We start from the raw sequence: 23,680 nt of genomic DNA on the forward strand, positions 1-23,680 counted from the left end.
AGACTTGTTGAGTTTTAGTCTCAGTTCTGTTACTGAGTGGCTGACTAATCCCGGGTAAGTCTAGATTTTGAATTCCCCATCTAGAAAATTAGATATTTGGACTAAATTACTGTCTTAGTCCAGTTTGTACTGCTGTAACAATACCTGAGGCTGGGTAACTAAAAAGAGCAGACATGTATTGGCTTATGATTCTGGAGGCTGGGAAGTCCAAGAACAAGGATATGCATCTTGTAAGGACCTTCTTGCTGTGTCATAACATGGAGGAAGGCATCACCTGGTAAGACAGAGAGAGCAAGGAGAGAGAGAGTGAGTGTGCCAAACTTGCTTTTATAACAAATCCACTCTCCTGATAATGAACCTGCTCCTGGGGTAACAATATTAATCCATTCATGAAGGCACCTAATCACCTCTTAAAGGCCCCAACTCTCAACACTTGCATTGAGGATTAAGCTTCCAAAATATGAACTTTGGGATACACATTCAAACCATAGCAATGATATTTAAAGTTTCTTCTACCTTTAAAATTTTGTGGTATTTTTCTAGACTCTTAATTATTCCTTGTTCCTATAGTTCTTCTCTGTTGACTCAGCAAATATTTAGTTAGTTAAGTTAGGTTTTTAATTTTTTTTATTTTTTACTTATTTATTTATTTTTAAAGTAGAGACAGGGCTTCACCATGTTGGCCAGGCTGGTCTTGAACTGCTGACCTCAAGTGATCCATCCCACCGTGACCTCCCAAAATACTGAGATTACAGGTGTGAGCCACCATGCCCAGCCTCAGCAAATATTTATTGAGTACCTATTTAGTTCCAGTACTGTGATGATGCTGAGAGTTCAAGAATGAGCTAAACGGCCAGGCGTGGTGGCTCACGCCTGTAATCCCAGCAATTTGGGAGGCCGAGGCGGGCGGATCATGAGGTCAGGAGTTCGAGACCATCGTCGCTAACATGGTGAAACCCCGTCTCTACTAAAAATACGAAAAAATTAGCCAAGCATGGTGGCAGTCGCCTGTAGTCCCAGCTACTCGGGAGGCTGAGGCAGGAGGGTGGCATGAACCCGGGAGGTGGGTCTTGCAGTGAGCCGAGATTGCGCCACTGCACTCCAGCCTGGGCAACAGAGCCAGACTCCGTCTCAAAAAAAAAAAAAATGAGCTAAACAAGACACAAAAGATCACATATTGTATGGTTTCATTTATATGTAATGTTCAGAATAGGCAATTTCATAAAGATGAAAGGTAGGTTAGTGGTTTCCAGCGGCTGGGGAAAGGAGAGAATAGGAGTGACTGCTAATAGGCATGGGATTTCTTTTAGGGGTGATGAAAATGTTCTGGAATTGATAGTGTTTGCATTATTTTGTGAATACACTAAATTGATGGTTTATACTATATTAAACAGATGGTTGCAGAATTTTGTGAATATACTAAAACCCACTGAATTATACCTATTAAAAAAACTTTAAAGGCTGGGTGCAGTGGCTCATGCCTGTAATCCCAGCACTTTGGGAGGCCAAAGTGGGCAGATCACTTGAGGTCAGGGGTTCTAGACCAGCCTGGCCAACATGGCTAAACCCCATCTCTACTAAAAATACAAAAATTAGCTGGATGTGGTGGCACACACCTGTAATCCCAGCTACTCAGGACGCTGAGGCAGGAGAATGGCTTGAACCCTGGAAACAGAGGTTGCAGTAAGCTGATATTATACCACTGCACTTCACCTGGGTGACACAGTGAGAGTCCTTTTCAATAAATAAATAAATAAAACTTTAAAATATAAAGAATGAGCTAGACTGACACAACAGCTAGACACAATTTTGCTCTCATGTTAGCTCACAGTAGGTCAGGGGATACTTAAAGACAACTATGGTACAGTATATATTGCAAAGGGCACATAACCCAGACTTCGTAATAGTGGTAGTGGGAATTAGGAAGTCATCCCTTAAGGAAATTTTACTAAGCCATATGATATGGTTTGGATTTATGTCTCCACCCAAATCTCATGTCAAATTGTAATCCCCAGTGTTGGAGGAGGGCCCTGGTGGGGGTTGACTGGATCATGGGGGTAGATTTCCCACTTGCTGTTCTTGTAATTATGAGTTCTCATGAGATCTGGTTGTTTAAAAGTGTGTAGCACCTCCCCTTTCCCTCTCTTCCTCCTTCTCTGGCCGTGTAAAACATGCCTCCTTCTCCTTCCCCTTCTGCCATGGTTGTAAGTTTCCTGAGGTCTCCCCAGCTATGCTTCCTGTGTAGCCTGCATAACTGTAAGTCATTTAAACCCCTTTCTTTATAAATTACCCAGTCTTAGGTAGTTCTTTATAGCAATGCAAGAATGGACTAATACACCATATCTATGAGATGAGTAGGAATTGGGAATGGAGGAGGATGTTTCAGGCAGAAGGAATATTGCAAAATCCTGAGAGCTAGAAGGAATATAGTCCTTTGGGGTAAAGAAGGTAAGAATAGCTGGTAAATAAAAGTATAAGGGAAAATAGAGCTGAGGCTAGGGAGGCATGAGTCAAATCTTGAAGCCATGGTAAGAGTTTTAGATTTTATCCTGAGAGTAGTGGGGAGCCATTGAAGTATTTCAATCTGGGAAAATGCATAGTCGAGTTTGTAATTTAAAAACTCTGGCTGCAATATACAGAACAGACTGGAGAAGGAGAATACCAGTGACAGGAAATTGGTGGTTGCAGCAGTACAGGCAAAAGATGAGACTGGTTGATTTAAAGTAGAGATGACAACAACCTGGCTAAAGTGAGGAGTTGGACACATTTGAGATATATATATATATATGTATGTGCAGGGGGACAGGGTTTCACTCTTGTTGCCCAGGCTGGAATGCAATGGCGTGATCTTGGCTCACTGCAACCTCCATCTACTGGGTTCAAGCGATTCTCCTGCCTCAGCCTCCCAAGTAGCTGGGATTACAGGCATGTGCCACTACGCCCAGCTAATTTTGTATTTTTAGTAGAGATGGGGTTTCTCCATGTTGGTCAAGCATGTGCCACCACGCCCAGCTAATTTTGTATTTTCAGTAGAGATGGGGTTTCTCCATGTTGGTCAGGCTGGTCTTGAACTCCTGACCTCAGGTGATCCGCCCACCTCAGCCTCCCAAAGTCCTGGGATTACAGGCGTGAGCCACTGCGCCTGGCCTACATTTGAGAAATATTAAGGTGATGGAACATGGGAACGAGGAAGGGATTAAGGTTGAGTCACAGATTTTGTGCTTGAGCAACTAGGTATGTGATGATGTCATTCACTGAGCGAGGGAACAGAAGTAAGTTTTTGGGGAAAATAATTCACATTCAAATGTGTTGAGAACATCAAGGTGGAACAGTCTTATGATCAGTTAGAAGAACAAGTCAGCAACTTCTGAGAGAGACCTGGGTTGGGGATATACACATAAGAATCAATAAGATAGAAGTTATACTTGAAACAATGGGAGTGTATTTGTTCATCCAGGGAGTGTGTGGTAGAAGTAAAAAAGAAGAGCTCTGTTTTAGTCTGTTCTTGCATTGCTATAAAGAAATTTCTGAGACTGGGTAATTTATAAAGAAAAGAGGTTTAATTGGCTCACAGTTCCACAGGCTGTACAGAAAGCATGGTAGCATCTGCCTGACTTTTGAGGAGGCCTCAGGAAACTTACAATTATGGCAGAAGACAAAGGAGAAGCAGGCACATCTTACATGGCCAAAGCAGGAGAGAGAGAGAGAGGAAAAAAAAAAAGGTTCTACACACCTTTAAACAACCAGATCTTGCAATAACTCACTCACTTACTATTGCAAGAACTGCACTGAGGGTATAGTGCTAAACCATTCATGAGAAACTGCCCAGATGATCCAGTTATCTCCTACTGTGCCTGGCCATGCCAGCTGCTAGGTAACTGAGTCAGAATTTGAACTTAGGTTCCTTAACTCTAAAGGCTCTTTCTACTAGATTATACTGCTGGTTATTTCTCTCTCTCTCTCTATATATATACATATATATATACACACACATACATATATACATATACAGATCTGTATATGTGTATACACACGTACACACGTATACATATACACACACGTACACACGTGTACATATACACACACGTACACACGTGTACATATACACACACGTACACATGTGTACATATACACATATGTATACACGTATACCTATGTATACATATATACATATATACCTATGTATACATATATACATATATACACATATATACATATATACACACATATATACATATACACACATATATACATATATACACACATATATACATACATATATATACACATATATACATATATGTATAAAATTTAATTTTACTTTTATAAATGTCAATTCCTAAGGAATTTACCAAATGCTAATATTAACCTGCTTGAATCCTTTCTCAATAGCAAGTGTCCTGAATGCCTCAGAGTTTTCAATGGTAATATTAATTTAATCTAGGCCATCCATACATTGCAAAAATATGGATGTAGTAATGCCTTGTGTTCTAATTGGCTGATGCTATTTTCAGAGCTTGATTCCCTAGAAATGACATCAGAATGTCTATGATCATAGAGAAATTTTTAAAACCCTACTAATTTAGAAAACTATTTAGTTTTATTAAGTAAGTTTTAATAAGTAAGTTTTATTAGTTTTATTAATTTTATTAATTAAAAAAGTTAATTTAAAAATTAATTTAAAAATTAAAAAGTAAGTTTTATTAAGTTTTATTAGTTTTATTAATATTAGTATTCTATACTAATATAGAAAACTATTCTAGAAAATCATGATTTCTCTTATTTATTGTGTCTAAGACTAATAACTACCCCAGTAGTGGGTAGTGTATTATGGTTTAATGGGCTGGGACTAGATCTTAAACTCTTAGAGCTACTTTGTTTCCCATTTTATTTTTTGAAATTTAAGGGGGACAACTGATGTATTAGATATGAAGGTTATAGTCTCAAATCAAGTAAAGATAGCTTGGAATCTTTAAGGGTTAAAGAACTATTGGTGGTTTTCAGTCTCATATATAAAATATTGTAAAAGAGTGTCCCCTAGTGCCCCTCTGAAGAAATAATTTGAAAGAAATTTAATATTACCACCTATTTATAATCTCTATCACCACCTTGTGGCAGTGTTCGCAAATAATTCTGCCCTCTTGGGAAAAATCTTCAAGAATCTTGCATTAATGGATACACAAAAACCGGTCACAGGCTATCCTTGGTGATCCAGAATGGAATATCTTTAAAGAAGTTATTTTACAAGTATTTTGGTCAGAACTTCATAAAACCTTGAAAAGAAGCCCCAGTTGAAATTAAATTAAGACTTTGTAAAGAAAAGGGAAAATTTGCTGCTGCTTCTTTTTTTTTTTTTTTGAGATGGAGTCTGGCTCTGTCGGCCAGGCTGGAGTGCAGTGGCGCAATCTTGGCTCACTGCAAGCTCCACCTCCCGGGTTCACGCCGTTCTCCTGCCTCAGCCTCCTGAGTAGCTGGGACTATAGGCGCCTGCCACTATGCCTGTCTAATTTTTGTATTTTTAGTAGAGATGGGATTTCACCATGTTGGCCAGGATGGTCTTGATCTCCTGACCTCGTGATCCACCCGCCTTGGCCTCCCAAAGTCCTGGGATTACAGGCATGAGCCACCATGCCCGGCTGCTTCTTTTTTATATCAACAAAACAATAAGGGTGAAAACTAGATGTATTTTAAATATTAACTTTTTTATTGTGGTAAACTGTAATATGAAACTCAACACCTCAGCTTTTCTAAGTGTACAACTCAGTGACACTAAGCACATTTGCAATGTTGTGCAACCATTATCACTATCCATTTCTAAAACCTTCTCATCATCGTGAACAGAAACTCTATACCTATTAAACTCTTTATTCCTTCTACCCCACCAGCACCTGGTAACCTCTATTCTACTTTCTGTCTCTGTGAATTTGCCTACTGTAGGTACCTCATATAAGTGGGATCATATAATATTTGTCCTTTTATGTCTGGCTTTTCACTTAGCATAATGTTTTCAAGATTTATTCACATTGTTGCATGTATCAGAACTTCATTCCTTTTTAAGATTGAATAGGGGTCGGGTGTGGTGGCTCATGCCTATAATCCCAGCACACTGGGAGGATGAGGCGGGTGGATTGCCTGAACCTAGGAATTCAAGACCAGCCTGGGCAACATGACAAAACCCCATCTCCACAAAAAATACAAAAATTAGCGAGGTGTGGTGGCAAATGCTTGTAGTCCCAGCTACTCGAGAGGCTGAGGTGGGAGAATCATTTAAGCCTGGGAGCGGGAGGTTGCAGTGAGCCGAGATCACGCCATTGCACTCTACTGTGGGTGACAGAAGGAGACCCCGTCTCAAAAACAAAACAAAACAAACAAATAAAACAATTGAGTAATATTCCATTGTAAATACCACATTTTGTTTATCCATTCATCTTTTAATAGACATTCGAACTGTTTCCATCTTTTGGCTAATATGAATTATGTGGCTATGAGCATTGGTGTACAAGTATCTGTTTGAGTCCCTGGTTTCAATTCTTTTGAATATATACCTAGAGATGGAAATGCTAGATAATATGGTAATTCTGTTTAACTTTTTGAGGAATGCCATTGCTATTTTCCACAATGGCTGCACCATTTTCATTCCCACCAGCAATGCATAAGGGTTTTAATTTCTCCACATCCTTACCAACTTACTATTTTCCATTTTTGAATAATCATTTATAAAATTTTTAATTGACACACAGTAATTGTACATATTTATGGGGTACAGAGTGATATTTTGATACATGTATACAATATGTAATGGTCAAGTCAAAGCATATTCATCAATTCAAACATTTATCATTCTTTGTGTTGAACTATTTTAAAATATACAATAAATCATTGTTAACTGTGGTCACTCTACAGTGCTATAGAACAATATAATTTATTCTCCTATCTAGCTGTAATTTTATATCCATTAACTAACTTCTCCCTATCCAACCTCCTCCCTGCTGCCCTTCCTAGCTTTTAATAACTACTTCTGAGAGCTCATCTGTTTTAGCTCCCAGATGAGTGAGAACACATGGTATTTATCTTTCTGTACTTGACTTACTTCACTTAAAATTATATCATCTAGGTTAATCTCTGTTGCTGTGAATGACAGATTTCATGCTTTTTTAAATGGCTGAATAATATTCCATTGTGTATATATATCCTTTCCTTCCTTTCTTTCTTTTTCTCTTTCTCTCTCTCTCTCTTTCTTTCTCTCTTTCTTTCTTTTTTTTTTTTTTTTTTGACAGAGTCTTGCTCTGTTGCCCAGGCTGGAGTGCAGTGGTGCAATCATGGCTCACTGCACTGCAGCCTTGAACTCCTGGGCTCAAGTAGTCCACCTTAGCTTCCCAAGTAGCTGGGACTATAGGTGCGTGCCACCACACCCAGCTAATTTTCGTATTTTTTGTACAGATAGGGTTTCACCATGTTGCCTAGGCTGGTCTTGAACTCCTGGGCTCAAGCAACCTGCCTGCCTCAACCTCCCAAAGTGCTGGGATTACAGACATGAGCTGCCACCCCGGCCTATATTTTATTCATGCATTCATCTGTTGATGGACACTTAGGTTGATTCCATATCTTGGCTATTGTGAATAGTGCTGCAATAAACATGGAGGTATAGATATCTCTTCCATATACTGATTTCTTTTCTTTTGGATAAATACCCAATAGTAGGATTGCTGGATTATATGGTTTCTATTTTAAGATTTTTGAGGACCTTCCATACTGTTTTCCATAATGCTTGTACTAATTTACATTCTTACCAACAGTGTATAAGAATTTTCTTTTCTTTGCATCCTTGCCAGCATTCGTTATTTTTTGTTATTTTATTTTATTTTATTTCATTTCATTTTTTGAGATGGAGTCTTGCTCTGTTGCCCAGGCTGGAGTGCAGTGACAAGATCTTGGCTAACTGCAACCTCCACCTCCCCGGTTCAAGTGATTCTCCTGCCTCAGCCTCTCAAGAAGCTGGGACTACAGGTGCATGCCACCACACCTGGCTAATTTTTTTTTTTTTTTTTTGTATTTTTAGTAAAGACAGGATTTCACCAGACTGGTCTCAAACTCTTGACCTCAGGTGATCCACCCACCTTGGCCTCCCAAAGTGCTGGGATTACAGGTGTGAGCCACCTCGCCTGGCCATTTTTTGTCCTTTTAATAATAGCCATTCTAACTGTGGGGAGATGATATCTCATTGTGGTTTCAATTTGCATTTCCCTGATGATTAATCATGTTGAGCATTTTTTCATATACTTATTAGCCATTTGTATGCCTTCTTTTGAGAAATGTCTATTCAGATCCTTTGCTTTTTTTTTTTTTTTTTGGCTTTTGAGTTGCTTGCACTTCTTGTATATTCTGGATATTAATTCTTTCTTGGATGAATAGTTTTCAAATGTTTTCTCCCATTCTATAGGCTGTCTCTTCACTCTGTTGGTTATTTACTTAGCTGTGTAGAAACTTTTTAGTTTGATATAATATCATTTGTGTATTTTTGGTTTTGTTACCTGTGCATTTGAAGTCTTACCCATAAAATCTTTACCCAGACCAATGTCCTGAAGCATTTTTCCTGTGTTTTATAATTTTGAGCCTTACATTTAAGTCTTTAACATATTTTGAGTTTATTTTTGTATATGGTGAGAGACAGGGGTCTCTCATTCTTCTGCTGTGGATATGCAGTTTCTCCAGAACCATTTTTTGACAAGGGTATCTTTTCCCCAATGTATGTTCTTGGTGACTTTGTCAAAAATAAGCTGGTTGTAAATAGGCAGATTTATTTCTGGGTTCTCTATTCTGTTCCATTGGTCTATGTATCTCTTTTTATACCAGTGCCATGCTGTTTTGGTTACTATAGCTTTGTAGTATATTTTAAAGCCAGGTAATGTGATGCCTCCAACTTTGTTCTTTTTGCTCAGAATTACTTTAGCTGTTCAGAGTCTTTTGTGGTTCCATAGGAATTTTAGGAGTTTTTTTCCGTTTCTATGAAGAGTGTAATTGGTATTTTGACAGGGATTGCATTTGAATCTGTAGATTGTTTTGGGTAATTAATATGATCATTTTAGCAATATTAATTCTTCTAATCAATGAATACGGGATGCCTTTCCATCTTTTTGTGTTCTGTTCAATTTCTTTCATCAGTGTTCTGTAGTTTCATTGTAGCAATCTTTCACTTTCTTAAATTTATTCCTAGCTAATTTTTTTGGTAGGTATTGTAAATGAGATTTCTCTCTTGATTTCTTTTTCAGCTAGTTGAATGAATAACTATTTTAATGGGTATGAAGTATAAACATTAACTTCTGAGTTGAATTTGCAAATAAGTTACAACTGAAGTTAGTTCAAGAAATGTTTTTGAGCCTTTGCTATATTGTTACACTCTGAGGGAATAACAAGGATTAATAATATATATTGAGTCTCTAGGTGATTTACAATGTATTTTCTCCTCTGAATATATTTTTGAACAAATAAATAATCTTATAATTTTCATTGAGTGGGTGGAAAAATTCATCCAGAGACCTTATGCCAAAATTATAGATAAAAATGTTTATTAAACTTATTTCCCAATGAGTATGGTCAAATTTTAATTATATAGTTCTCCTTTGGAAAATTAACAATAGGTACTTTTTTCAACTCAAATTCATTTTATCGTTTAGATAGAGCCTGATAGAATTATCTTAGCATTCATTCTTCCTTTGCTCTTCAAAATGTAGCTTGGTAAATTTCTCTCTGAACTGAACAATCTTGAAAACAGTTTATACTTAACTGTCTTTGATTTTAATTTTTTGTTTGCTTTTAGACTTTTTCAGTTTCATTTTTGGGCAGAGTAAGAGAGGAAGCATTATATTTGGCAAGGTCTCTAATTAATTAATTATTTTTTAATAGGTTGGACTTGTTGAAATAATCCTGATACATTCCTACAATGGCCACTGCTCAGCTTTCTCACTGCATCACAATACACAAGGCTTCTAAGGTATTTGTTAAGAATTAAAAGAAAATCAATGACCATTTAGTGAGTTAGTTCAGAATTATGATTTTAATCTTTTGTGTGTGTGTTTTTAAGCAGCAGTTTTATCAGTTAATTGGCACATAATATTCTGGGAGAGTATGTGTACATTTTAACTGCCTAATAGACCAAGGACCAGAAAATTAAAATAAATTTCTACAAAGTTACTTACTGGGTGCTTGTTTCATGTTTATGTAATATATTTAGGTCTTCTAGAGTAAAAGAAATCAGAAACAAAAAGATGTTTAAAGAGAATGGTTCTTGGTTAGACATTCACTTCCTAAAGTGTTAGGAAACTTGTGTTGCACACCATGGTGTAATTATAAGAACAGAAGGGGAGAGCACTGAGAGAAACTTGGATGCTAGGAGGTCTAGGGGAGCATCCCAGGGCCAGGCATATAGTTTAGTTTGTCTCATGACATTCATTAATGCATCCTTTGTTTATTCATTGAGACTAAATATTATGTAGTATAATATTCATTATACTGTGTAACTCACTGATAAAATACAAAAATATGATCTTCATCTTCCAAAAGTTTATAATCTGGTTAGGAGTTAAGTCAATATACAAAGCGATATATGATTTATATATATGTGAAAAAGAGTAAGACAATGCAAATTATAGGGATTTATTTAGAGATTTCATGTGGACTGGAATGGTTTGTATATTCCTCATGAAAGAGGTAAGACTGAAGGTGGACAGACCTTGAATGATGAAGATAATTTGCGTAGAGGGGAGAGAATTCCCTGAGGAAAACCCAGCATATGCCTTGGCTCAGAATAAGAAATAAGATGGGCTGATTACAAAATTGGCTGACTGGTTTTGGACTGCCTTGCAGTGAAATGCATGGTAAAAGCATTGCACTGTCTTTTCCTATAACATCTCTCTCTTTTTCTGGGGATCCAGGATCTAGTATAAAAATGAGACCCTTAATTTTGGGGATCTGTTTATACCTTCCATCTGTGCCTGTTTATTAGGCCCTAGAAACTACATGCTTTCCTGGGCCTGTTTTTCCAAGGACTCCACCCTGAAGCCAGTAATCCAATTAAGAAACTTAAAAACTGGCAATCGAAAAATCTTACAACTACTGGGTCTTCTTCTGTCTGTGTATTTATATGTGTTGCATGTATGGTGTTTACATAAAAGAGTGTTAATTAATTGGCTTAAAGAAAAATAAACACTTAAATCAAATATTTTGTCAGAAAAATTAAAACTTTAGTGCCTTTTAGTTTACATGACTTTAATAATCTTTGGAAAATACAGATTATTGGTAAAATGAAAATATCTTCAAAATTTAGGCACTTGATTTAGGTCAGATATTAGGTTTGCTAAAGGCTTTAATGTCATAAAATGCTTCTTTGATTTTTAAAAATTGTTCAGCTTACCTGCTTTGGAGCCATTAGAGTCTAGGTAAAGCCTAGGGACATGTGGAGTTAGCCATGTCCCCTGGCTATGCTGGGAAAAGTCAGACTTTATCTGCACTCCGCCTTCAAAGATTATATTAACTGGTAATAAGTATTATCCTTGTAGTATGAATTAAGAGTGATACAGAATGTAAGCCACACGAGGGAGAGGATTTTTATATGTTTTGCTCACTACTATGTCTCAGAACCTAAAACAGTACCTAGAATGTAGTAAGATTAAATGCATATTTGGATTAAGATTTTCATACTTTGGAAATGGGAAAAAGAGCATGCCTGGCTGAAAGAACTGCATAAGACAACATTTTCCAAACTTATTTGACCAGCAAACACTTAACATTTTTACTGGGAGTATATATTCATATAATGCATAGGTGTACAACTAAATGAATTTTTACGAACTTAACACATTGTTATAAGCCAGAAGCCAGATCAGAAACCAGAACACTACCAGCACTCCCTCTCATGCTGTCTTCTAGTTATTATTACCTCTCCCCACCAAGAGAAACCACCATCTTGACATCTAACAGCATAGATTAGTTTCACCTGCTATTGTACTTTATATAAATGAAATCATATACTAATACTCATTTGTATCTGGTTTCTTTTGCTCAGCATTGTGTGTGAGAGTCATCTATATTACTCAGTATAGTTACAGATCATTCATTCTCATTGCTATATAGTATTCCATTGGGGGCGTATACCCCAGTTTTATTTATTCTACTGTTGATGAGCATTTGGGTGGTTTCCAGCATGGGTCTATTACAATAATGCTTTTCTGAATACTCTAATTCATGTCCTATAGTGAACATATAAGCATATGTGTTGGATGTATACCTATAAGTAAAATATAAGTCATAGGATATGTGTATATTTAGCTTTATTATATACTGCCAAGCACTTTTCCAAAGAGGTTGTGCCCATTTACCCTCCCACAACCAGTGTTTAGGAGTTTTTATTATTCTACATCCTTTTTAAAACTTTTAGCCATTTTGGTGGGTGTGTAGTATTCTCTCATTGTGATTTTTTTTTTTTTGACAGTCTCACTCTGTCACCCAGGCTGGAGTGGTGCAACCTTGGCTCACTGTGATCTCTGCCTCCAGGGTTCAAGTGTTTCTCCTGCCTCAGCCTCCCAAGTAGCTGGGATTATGGGTGCCTTTTACCACACCTGGCTAATTTTTGTATTTTTAGTAGAGACGGGGGTTTCACCATGTTGGCCAGGCTGGTCTTGAACTCCTGACCTCAAGTGATCCGCCCACCCCAGCCTCCCAAAGTGCTGGGATTGCAGGTGTGAGCCACCACCCCTGGCCTCCTTGTGATTTTAATGCTCACTTCCCTGATAAAGTTTAAACACTTTTTCATTTGTTTATTGGTCATTTGGGTATGCTCTTTTATTGTCTATTTTCACACAAGTAGACACTTTTCTATTTGATTGTCTTTCTTAAAGAATTTTAGGAGTTCTTTATACATTCTGGATATGAGTCCTTTGTAAGACCTATGCTCTTAATAGTATATTAATGAATGAAGTTCTAAAGTTTAATATAGTCTAATTTGTTAATATTTAGAAAATGCTTTAAAATTATAATGTATTGACACAACACCGGCTGGAATTCATGAGACATATTTTGTGCTTGGCTTAAAGAAAACAGCAAAAAGCAGCCTCACAGAATAATTATGACAAACAGATCAAATTTTTATTTTTATGTTAATACATAAACACAGTAAACATTGTGTATACAATAAACATAGTATGTCAAACATATGTTGAAATGATAATTTGAGATACCGGCACAACCCATCCATCAGCAAATATTCTACTCTTGGTAGACACCCCTTACATACTGAAGCAAAAGTCACAAATTCATATATCAGTCGCTCTCTTATCACATTCCTTTTATGGCACACTATTTCTTAAGGAAGACTATCTAATCATTTAAGAACAATGATTTAAGTTTGTTTACTATGTTGTATATATATACACACATAAAATTTAGCAGGAAGCTATTCCTAGTATTGATACTTTTTACAGAACACTATGTGACATCTTACAGAAGCTTTGTGTTCCTCAGACCTCTGGCTTAAGCAAAGCACAAAAGTATGGAAAAACATGGCAGTAGAATAGTAGATGAATAGCCACAATTCCACATAGCTAGACAGCAGAGTGCATGGGAGAGAATAAGGGAGTGTGGGCAGGGAGGAAGGGGTGCAAGATGAGGCAGGAGAGCTAAACAAGAATAAGATTTTGACAGTTCTGAAATCCCACTCTAAGGTACTTGAACTCTCTCCTGGATGAACACTGGCAGTATCATGATAAGATTTGTATCCTTGAAAATTAATTCTGATGGCAATATGGAAGACAGGTTGAATGAAAGAATCGTTAGCAAAGAGATAAGGGGCTACTGCAGTAATCAAGGAGAGAATTGAGTATGTCCTCGGTCAAGCCAGTGGCAGTGAGCAGGGAAAGGAGAAAATAGATTTGAGAACTCTTTTAGAGAGAATTAATAGAATTTAGTGGGGTATGAAGGAGAGAGAAGACAAAGATGAAGCTGCTTCTAGCCTGGATGACTGGAGTAGTGCTGATTCACTAGTCTGAGAATGAGACTTGGGATCAGGTTTTAGCCAGGGGTGGCAGAGATAAACTGAGTTTAAGGGATCTACAAAGTGGTTTAGGTGCAGATGTTCAGGAAATAAAAATATAGAACTGGGACTCAGAACAGAAATAGGGACCTGAATTCCTTTTTGTATAGGCTGTAGCTGAAGCTATGAAACTAGATGAGATTATTCAAGAAGACAGCTATAAAAGAGAAAAAGCCTGAAGACAGAATCCTGGGGGATAACCAATATTTAAAGAGTAGAACAACTGGAAAAAATAAAAGAGACTGAGACAGATATGTACGGATAGGTGAAAAAACAAAGTAGTGTTGTGGCACCTTGGAGAGGAAAAGAGAGTATGTGGGTAACAGTGTCAGATAATATAAAGAAGTTACATATTATGAGGAATGAGAAGAGGTCAACTATAGGATTGTACTTGGTGACTTTGGAGAGAATAGTTTAGAAAGGAAAGGAGGAAAATCCAGATTGCAGCGGGGTCTGAGGAGTGTATGAGAGGGAAGAAGATTATATAATCATAGTAAAACTCCAGTTTCATGGATCATTGTGAAATAAATTGTTTTAGTCTTGAATTACTTGGGTAATTGTTTCTGCCTTCTGCTCTGCCTTGCCTATGAAGATCTAATTTAATGTAATATTCAAAGCGCTATTTCTTTTTGATTACCTTCAAAGATATCAAATTTGAAGTCCTGAGAAATCTTTTCATCATATATGTGGTAATGATGTGCTAAACTGAATATATTAAATAATACTAATCTTTTTTCACCTCCGTTGTTTTTCCAGGAAACAGTTTTCCCATCCCAAATCACTAATGAGCATGAGTCATTGAAAATGGTGAAGAAACTTTTTGCTACTTCCATCTCATGTATAACATACCTAAGGGGCCTGTTTCCAGAGAGCTCTTATGGAGAACGCCATTTGGATGGTAAAGTTAAACTAACTAGTCTCTTTGGCTGTTGTAGCCCCTTTCTCTATTTAGCAGGAATAAACCTTTCACGTCTCACAAAGTGTGCTAATTCCAACTTAAGGGCCTGTTCTTCAAGACCAATTTGCTAATCCATTTTCCATTTTAATTTTACTGTGTGTAGTGATTTTACTTATAGGAATTACTAGTTCCTAGCTAGACGCCAGGTGACAGATGGAAGAAAAAAGAAATGTTTGGACAAGTCCAGTATAAAAGCAACAGCTAGATCAAAATCTATTTGAATGCTGTAGATTTGCGCTACGTTGTGCCTCAATTGAATTTATTCTTTAAGGTACACTTTAGCATTGAGGAAGTTCAAAGGAACCAGGTGAAAAACTTTTCTCCCTGTTAACGTATATAAAAATACTGGGGATAAAAAAGCCAAACTCACTTGTTGATTAACATGGATATTAAAATAATTATTATTCTAATCAGTTCTGGCTTTTTTCTCAATTGCCAGGTCTTCTACTTTCATTCCTTTTGTTTCAGTGCTCTTAAACTTATCATCTTATTGTCTTATACTACAAGCTGTTTCTGGCCCCTTTTCTTCTCTTATTATAAAAACAAGTACCAGCCAGGCATGGTGGCTCATGCCTGTAATCCCAACACTTTGGGAGGCCGAGGCGAGTGGATCACCTGAGTTCAGGAGTTCGAGACCAGCCTGGCCAACATGGTGAAACACTGTCTCTACTAAAAATACAAAAATTAGTTGGGCATTATGCTGGGCACCTGTAATCCCAGCTACTTGGGAGGCTGAGGCAGGAGAATCACTTGAACCCAGGAGACAGATATTGCAATGAGCCAAGATCGTGCCATTGCACTCCAGCCTGGGTGACAAGAGCAAAACTTCATCTCAGAAAAACAAACAAAAACAAAAACAAAAACAAAAAACCCAAGTACCTAGGACTCAACAAGTTTTCAAAAATCTTATTTGTTTAAAAAGCTGGATTGTGTATCATGAAAATGGCCATACTGCCCAAAGTAAATTATAGATTCAATGTTATTCCCATCAAGCTACCATTGACTTTCTTCACAGAATTAGAAGAAACTACTTTAAATTTCATATGGAACCAAAAAGGAGCCCATATAGCCAAGAAAATCCTAAGCAAAAAGAACAAAGCTGGAGGCATCATGCTACCTGACTTCAAATTATGCTACAAGGCTACAGTAACCAAAACAGCATGGTACTGCTACCAAAATAGATATATAGACCAATGGAACAGAACAGAGGCCTCAGAAATAACACCACACATCTACAACCATCTGATCTTTGACAAACCTGACAAAAACAAGCATTGAGTAAAGGATTCCCTATTTAATAAATGGTGCTGGGAAAACTGGCTAGCCATACGCAGAAAACCGAAACTGGACCCCTTCCTTACACCTTATACAAAAATTAATTCAAGATGGATTAAAGACTTAAATGTAATACCTAAAACCATAAAAACCCTAGAAGAAAACCTAGGCAGTACCATTCAGGCCATAGGCATGGGCAAAGACTTCATGACTAAAGCACCAAAAGCAATTGCAACAAAAGCCAAAATAGACAAATGGGAACTAATTAAACCAAAGAGCTTCTGCACAGCAAAAGAAATTGTCATCAGAGTGAACAGGAAACATACAGAATGGGAGAAAATGTTTCCAATCTATCCATCTGACAAAGGTTTAATATCCAGAATCTACAAGGAACTTAAAACAAATTTACAAGAATAAAACAACCCCATCAAAAAGTGGGCAAAGGATATGAACAGACACTTCTCAAAAGAAGACATTTATGCAGCCAACAAACATATGAAAAAAAGCTCATCATCACTGGTCGTTAGAGAGATGCAAATCAAAACCACAATGAGATACCATCTCATGCCAGTTAGAACGGAAATCACTAAAAAGTCAGGAAACAACAGATGCTGGAGAGAATGTAGAGAAATAGGAATGCTTTTACACTGTTGGTGGGAGTGTAAATTAGTTCAACCATTGTGGAAGACAGTGTGGCAATTCCTCAAGGATATAGAACCAGAAATACCATTTGACCAAGTAATCCCATTACTGGGTATATATCCAAAGTATTATAAATCATTCTATTATAAAGACACATGCACACATATGTTTATTGCAGCACTATTTACAATAGCAAAGACTTGGAACCAACCCAAATGCCCATCAATGATAGACTGGATAAAGAAAATGTGGCACATATACATCATAGAAAACTATGTACCCATGAAAAATAATTAGTTCATGTCCTTTGTAGGAACATGGATGATGCTGGAAACCATCATTCTCAGCAAACTAACACAGGAACAGAAAACCTGTGTTATGTATGTTCTCACTCATAAGTGGGAGTTGAACAATGAGAACACATGGAAACAGGAAGGGGAACATCACACACTGGAGCCTGTAGGGGGGTGGGGGGCAAGGGAAGGAATAGCATTAGGACAAATACCTAATGCATGTGGGGCTTAAAACCTAGATGATGGGTTGATGGTTGCAACAAACCACCATGGCACATGAACAAACCTGCACTTTCTGCACATGTATTCCAGAACTTAAAGTATTAAAAAAAAAAAAAGCTGGATTGTGAATCTTGTTGACTTGTCACTAAAATAGGAACTGTCATTTGGAAAATAAACATAGAGAGCTACAAGTTGCCTTGTAAGATGTTATTTTTCAAAATCTAATTTTAAATTTCTTACATCTGTATTTAATGATATACCTTGGCCTCATTTCAGTCTAATTCTCTTGGTTGGGCATGGTGGCTCAGGCTTGTAATCCAAAGTGTAACCATAACACTTTGAAAGGCAAGGTGGGCAGACTGCTTGAGCCTAGGAATCCAAGACCAGCCTGAACAACACGGTGAAACCCTGTCTCTATAAAAAATACAAAAAATTAGCTGGCCATGGTGGTGAGTGCCTGTAATTCCAGCTACTCTGGAGGCTGAGGTGGGAGGATCATCTGAGCCTGGGGGGTTAAGGCTACAGTGAGCTGTGATTGCACCACTGAATTCCAGCTTGAGTGATACAGTGAGACTCTGTCTCAAAAAAAAAAATTATCTTAAGTAATGTAAGAGCATCAATAAAATGCATGTGTGCTATAAGCACATAAACATGATATTTGCAATCATGACAACCTCATTTGTATTATGACATCTTTTGGTCTATGAGATACAAACTTGTAATAGTGAATGTGTTTATATCTAACATATATTTGTAATTTTCCCTCTTGTCTAGAACATAGAATTGAGAAAGACATATTTTTGATAATAAGCACATATTGTGTGCCAGTCACTACCCTAGGCAACGGCAATGATACCATTCCCTATAGCTTTATTTTTTGTGACAGTTATTGTGGAAGTTTTATGTCTCCCTTTCAATGTTTGTTCTTAAAGTAATATACATCATAAAAATGCTTAATACTCCTGTGTCACTCTCTTGTAATTTCTGAATGTTATATCAACATGGGATAATTTTCATATCCCTCAATAGAGATACAGGTAACATCAATTTTAGTATAGGAAAACAATACGAAAAGGTGAAGTTGCTTATGCAAAATCACACATAAATCAGTGATTGATCTTGGACTACTTTAAACCAAAACTCTATTTATTTATTTTGAGAGGGAGTCTCATTTCATTGTCCGGGCTGGAGTGTGGCGGCATGATCATTACAGGATTACAGCTTCGACCTTCCAGCCTCAAGTGATCCTCCTGCCTCAGCTTCCTGAGTAGTTGGGAGTATAGGCATGTGCCACTATGCCCAGATAATTTTTTTAATTATTTTTTTTAGAGGTGAGGTTTCACTAGGTTGCCCAGGCTGGTTTCGACGTCCTAGGCTCAAGCAATCCTTCTGCCTCAGCCTCCCAAAGTGCTGGGATTACAGGTGTGAGCCACCACACCCGGCCTAAACCCAAACTCTTAATATGATATTCCTATTCTTCTTAAGTATAAAAAGGTAGATTTCGGATAAAATAAATATTTGAGAATAATCCGTGTGAAATTTTTTATTCCTTCCTTTTCAATGAGAGGGAGAGAAATAACAGGGAAATGACTGATATTTAGGTGTATATTTTAAGTTGGTCAATGGAGATAGTCTCAATACTACCTCATAATTACTTAGAATTCTACAGCGGCAAAGAAAGGACACAAATTGATTTTGGAGCCAACTCAGTTGTGCTACATTGTAGAAGGGGGAAAATCCTTACTGTAATCGAAATTGAGACCAAGCTACTTCTTAACATAGGATTTATTTTTAAAGTAGATGTTTAGAGATCCAAAATGTTTTTATAAGCTATAAAACTAAATAAATTACATAAATAAAATAGTTAAAGGAAATACCCTATTTAGCATGGACAATTTCAGTACAGCAGTCATTTAGTAGATAAAAATAGACTGTGTTTCTGTTTTTGTAGACCTCAGTTTAAAAATCCTCCGAGAAGATAAAAAATGTCCCGGGTCACTGCATATTATCAGATGGTAAGTAATAGAAATTCTATAAAAGTTGAACAACATTATTTTTATCATGGCTGAAATTACCCATAAGACTTTATTTAGTAAGATCATTTTTTAAAAAACCATTTCTTCTTTTCTACTTTCCCTCTTTCTTTTTCTTTTTCTGTTTTTGATTTTTTTTTTTTTTTTTTTTTTTTTTTTTTTGAGATGGAGTCTCGCTCTGTCCCCCATGCTGGAGTGCAGTGGCGCAATCTCGGCTCACTGCAACCTCTGCCTCCCAGGTTCAAGTGATTCTCCGCCTCAGCCTCCCGGGTAGCTGGGACTACAGGTGCATGCCACCACGCTCAGCTAATTTTTGTATTTTTAGTAGAGACAGGGTTTCACCATCTTGGCCAGGATGGTCTCGATCTCTTGACCTCATGATCCAACCACCTTGGCCCCCCAAAGTGCTGGGACTACAGGTGTGAGCCACTGCCCTGACCTACTTTCCCTCTTTCTTTTTAAAAATAATTTTCTAGGAATTTGTAAGAATTATTCAATATAATTTTAAGACACTGATTTAGCTTTTTGAAAGAAAATTGACTTGTATAAAAATAAAAACTGTGATAAAATATTAAATATATACACCTATTATGTACCCACACAGATTTTAAAAATTGATAATTCATCATATGTGTGTCAGTGTACTAAACATGGGATCCAAAAAAATTTGGTTCACTACCACAAAATAGCTCACTATTACTTATAAAGGTCTATCATCATATTAAAAGTTGCTGGAAGTTTAAAAAAATGATTAAATGGGAAAGGTAAGATGGTTATCAACTTAATGTACATCAAAGCAAAAAGTGCAAATGAATTCTGTACTTGGAATTTTTTTGGATTTGCATATGGTCCAATTGACATCAAACATTTATTTCTTGACAGGATTCAAGGTTGTTTTGATGCTTTGGAAAAGAGATACGTAAGAATGTTTTTACACTTACACTGGAATCAAAGGCTTGTCTTTTATTCTTTAAAAAAAGAAATTAGACATTTATTTTGTTTTTGTGTTTAACAGTATAAGTGTCTACGTTTGCATCCATAAACTAATTTCTTATCTTATGTCTTTATTGTCCTGTTGTTGTCTCCTTTGCATCAATTAGAAAGAAAACTCATTTTTTCTCTTTTACATACTCACATTTTTTGACCACAGAGTTTCCTCTGAAGTCACTGGAAGAGATCCACAGGATGTGGGACAGGAGAGACAAGAATCTGGCATTTAGTGCATTGAACAAATTTAGAATAGTGGTGATTCAATTTGCAGATATGAAAGGAAAAAATTGACTTGAATAATTGGTTTTTATTCTGTCTTAGTTATTTTGGTAACTATATTTTGTTCATAAGTATAATCTATTCCCTTACAATAGCTAGTATTGTACCTCAAATTTTAAAAAAATACAGCTTAAATTTTAAGTGCATCTGATCTTTCATGCTGCCCAAGACAGCTATGAAGGGTGTACAAAATGGAGGCTCTAGTCCTAGTTGAAGAGACAAGATGTATATAAATGAAATTTCTCTTTTTCTTTTTTTTTCTGTGAAGCTTTTATTATGAACAGAGGGCAGGGCAAGGCAGGGGGCTCAGTCCTTGGCAGCGGCTTTCCTCATGGTGGCCAGGACATTGCGCAGCTCCTCCTACTTCCTCTTGGTGCGGATGTGTGTTCCCACCTTTTTCTTGATGAACTTGAAGGCCCTTTTGTCCTTGGAGACCTTGAGCTACTCCATGGGATGCTGCCCATACAGGGTGAAGCCACACACCTCTCAGATCATATCCCGCATGAACTTGGTGTGTTTGGTCAGGCACCTGCGATGGCAGCTGGGCCTGGGCTTGCTCACATTCTTGGTCACCTTGTGGCCCTTGTTGAGGCCCATGGCTGTAGGATAAAGCAGAACCATGGCTGCTGCTCTCCAGTGACAGCCAAGGCCTGTAAGTATTTGAAATTTCCGCCACTGCTTTTCCCCACTTTCTCCATCTATGTCTTCTTTTTACTCCTCAATTCCTGTTCCTTTAAGAAATCTTGAGGTCAGGAAGCCTTACACTGGATTATTTAGCAAATTCATACATTTCTATTTCCACTGCACATTTGTTACTTATGATTTATTCAACACTGACCAGAGGGACCTAGGGATACAAAGATAAAACAGAAGTGGGAAAGAGCTTGTAACCATGGCAGAAGATAAGTGAATTCATATGCAGGGCTGATGATCAGCTGTTACATACTGACTCAGCTGTATCTGCTCTTAAAATATTGAAATATTTCTGTATTGAATGGTGAATAGCTACTTTTCTGAGACCTCATGTGGCTCCCCATCAATATCCTCCCCATCACCTTACAGTGTCTCTTTTGGGATCTCTCCAGAACACTCCAAAATCCAGTAACCAAAGGGTTAATATCTAGTCCGAACGTTGCTTCCAGGAGGCCAGCTCTAGAGCCAAATTGGCATCCTTTCTGATTGGCCAGTATCTATGTCATATTGGGCTTTACATGTTTATTTATTAATTTTTTTGTGAGTGTGTGGCAGAGTCTTACTCTGTTGCCCAGGCTGGAGTGCAGTGGCGCAAACTTGGCTCACTGCAACCTCCGCCTCCCAGGTTCAAGCGATGCTGCTGCCTCAGCCTCCTAAGTAGCTGAGATTACAGAAATGCACCACCACACTCGGCTAATTTTTGTATTTTTAGTAGAGATGGGGTTTCACCATGTTGGCTAGGCTTCTCTCGAACTCCTGACCTCAAGTGATCTGCCCAACTCAGCCTCCCAACATGCTGGGATTACAGGCATGAACCACTTCACCCAGACTATATATTGATTTTTTTATATCAATTTGATATTTTTATGTAAAAATATCAGAGATATTTCAATCACCCCTATAATGCTCATTAGAAAGTGATGCATGCCAAAAGACAGATAATGATCATATGCAATGGGAAGTATGGGAAAGGAGGCACTATACCCTGTGAGAAACATGAGAGAAATCTTTTGAGAGAAAATAGCCTCTGAGCTTTGGAGGCCCTGAATATTTGGACAGATTGAGAGGGGGAGACGGCCATCACTGTTATACTGAACAGTGCTCACTCATTCCCCTTCATCCATTCATTTAGCAGCATTTCCTGACTGTTCCTCATTGAGGGGCAGTACAATATAGTTAGAACTTCAAGTTTTGGAGTCAGATGGTCTGAAGAATCCCAGTTCTGTCACTTAACACCTGTGTGACCTTTGGCACGTAACCTACCTTTTGGTACCTTAGTTTCTTTGCATATAAGATGGGGATAATAATAGAATCCACTTGTTAAGGATATTTGATAATTAAATGAGTTAATAATCTAAAGCAGTGGTTCTCAAACTTTAGCTTGCATCAGAATCACCTGGAGGACTTGTTAAAACACATGTTGTGAAGCCTCACCTCAAAATTTCTGATGTAAGAATTTGCATTTCAGACAAATTATAAGAGATGCTCTTGACTGCTGGTCTAGGGACCATAATTTGAAAACCACTGATCTAAAATGGTTAGAACAATGCCTGGCACATAACAAATACTATGTATGTGTTAAACATTCATTCTTTATACATTGGCTATTTAATCTGTGCCAGACACTGTGCCTAAGCATTGGATGAGATAATAATGAGAGTAAAATGTGATTCCACTCCCAGGGAGGTCATAATATAATAGGGTCACTTCTTAAATAAAAAATTATAAGTATTACATGTACTAAAATAGCAGTATAATGTACAAAGAGTATCTAGCTAGTTTGATAAATTTATTTTACTAAATGTCTACCTGTATGACTGACTCAGTCAAAATAGCTTGTTTTGGAGAGATCAAAAGACAAAATTTTAGATAGATGACTTAGTCTCTTAAGTAAATAGTATTTATATTGTTTTTCAGTTGTTAATCTTTTATAACTTTCCTCAGGTGATCTTGTAGCTGGTATGATATGTTTTAAAAGTAGTTTGAGGCCGAACACAGTGGCTCACACCTGTAATCCCAGCACTTTGGGAGGCTGAGACGGGTGGATCTCTTGAACCCAGGAGTTTGAGACCGGCCTGGGCAACATGGTGACACCCTGTCTCTGCTATAAATACAAAAAATTAGCTGAGTATGGTGGCTGGTGCCTATAATCCCTGCTACTCGAGAGGCTGAGGCAGGAGAATTGCTTGAGCCTAGGAGGCAGAGGTTGCAG

The 23,680-nt window shown here is 37.4% G+C and overlaps 1 protein-coding gene and 1 pseudogene across 10 annotated transcripts in view; one reads left to right on the top strand and one right to left on the bottom strand.

Annotated features, from left to right (window-relative positions):
* The window catches only part of HORMAD2 (HORMA domain containing 2), a 129,725-nt gene that overhangs the window by 6,281 nt on the left and 99,764 nt on the right, over positions 1-23,680 (top strand). For 7 of the 10 annotated variants that reach the window (XM_047441154.1, XM_047441156.1, XM_047441155.1 and 4 more), the window contains 4 exons: positions 9,904-9,991; positions 14,840-14,981; positions 19,425-19,488; positions 20,389-20,425. In XM_047441154.1, coding sequence (XP_047297110.1) covers positions 9,941-9,991; positions 14,840-14,981; positions 19,425-19,488; positions 20,389-20,425 — 294 coding nt within the window. In that variant the 5' untranslated portion in view covers positions 9,904-9,940. Of the gene's footprint in view, positions 1-9,903; positions 9,992-14,839; positions 14,982-19,424; positions 19,489-20,388; positions 20,426-23,680 lie in introns of those variants that run through there. The other 3 variants (XM_047441157.1, XM_017028625.2, NM_001329458.2) reach the window with 2 other exon arrangements.
* RPL36P17 (ribosomal protein L36 pseudogene 17) lies at positions 21,088-21,396 on the bottom strand (annotated as a pseudogene).

The sequence above is a fragment of the Homo sapiens genome, chromosome 22, assembly GCF_000001405.40.
Source record: "Homo sapiens chromosome 22, GRCh38.p14 Primary Assembly".
Classification (NCBI taxonomy): Eukaryota; Metazoa; Chordata; class Mammalia; order Primates; family Hominidae; genus Homo; species Homo sapiens.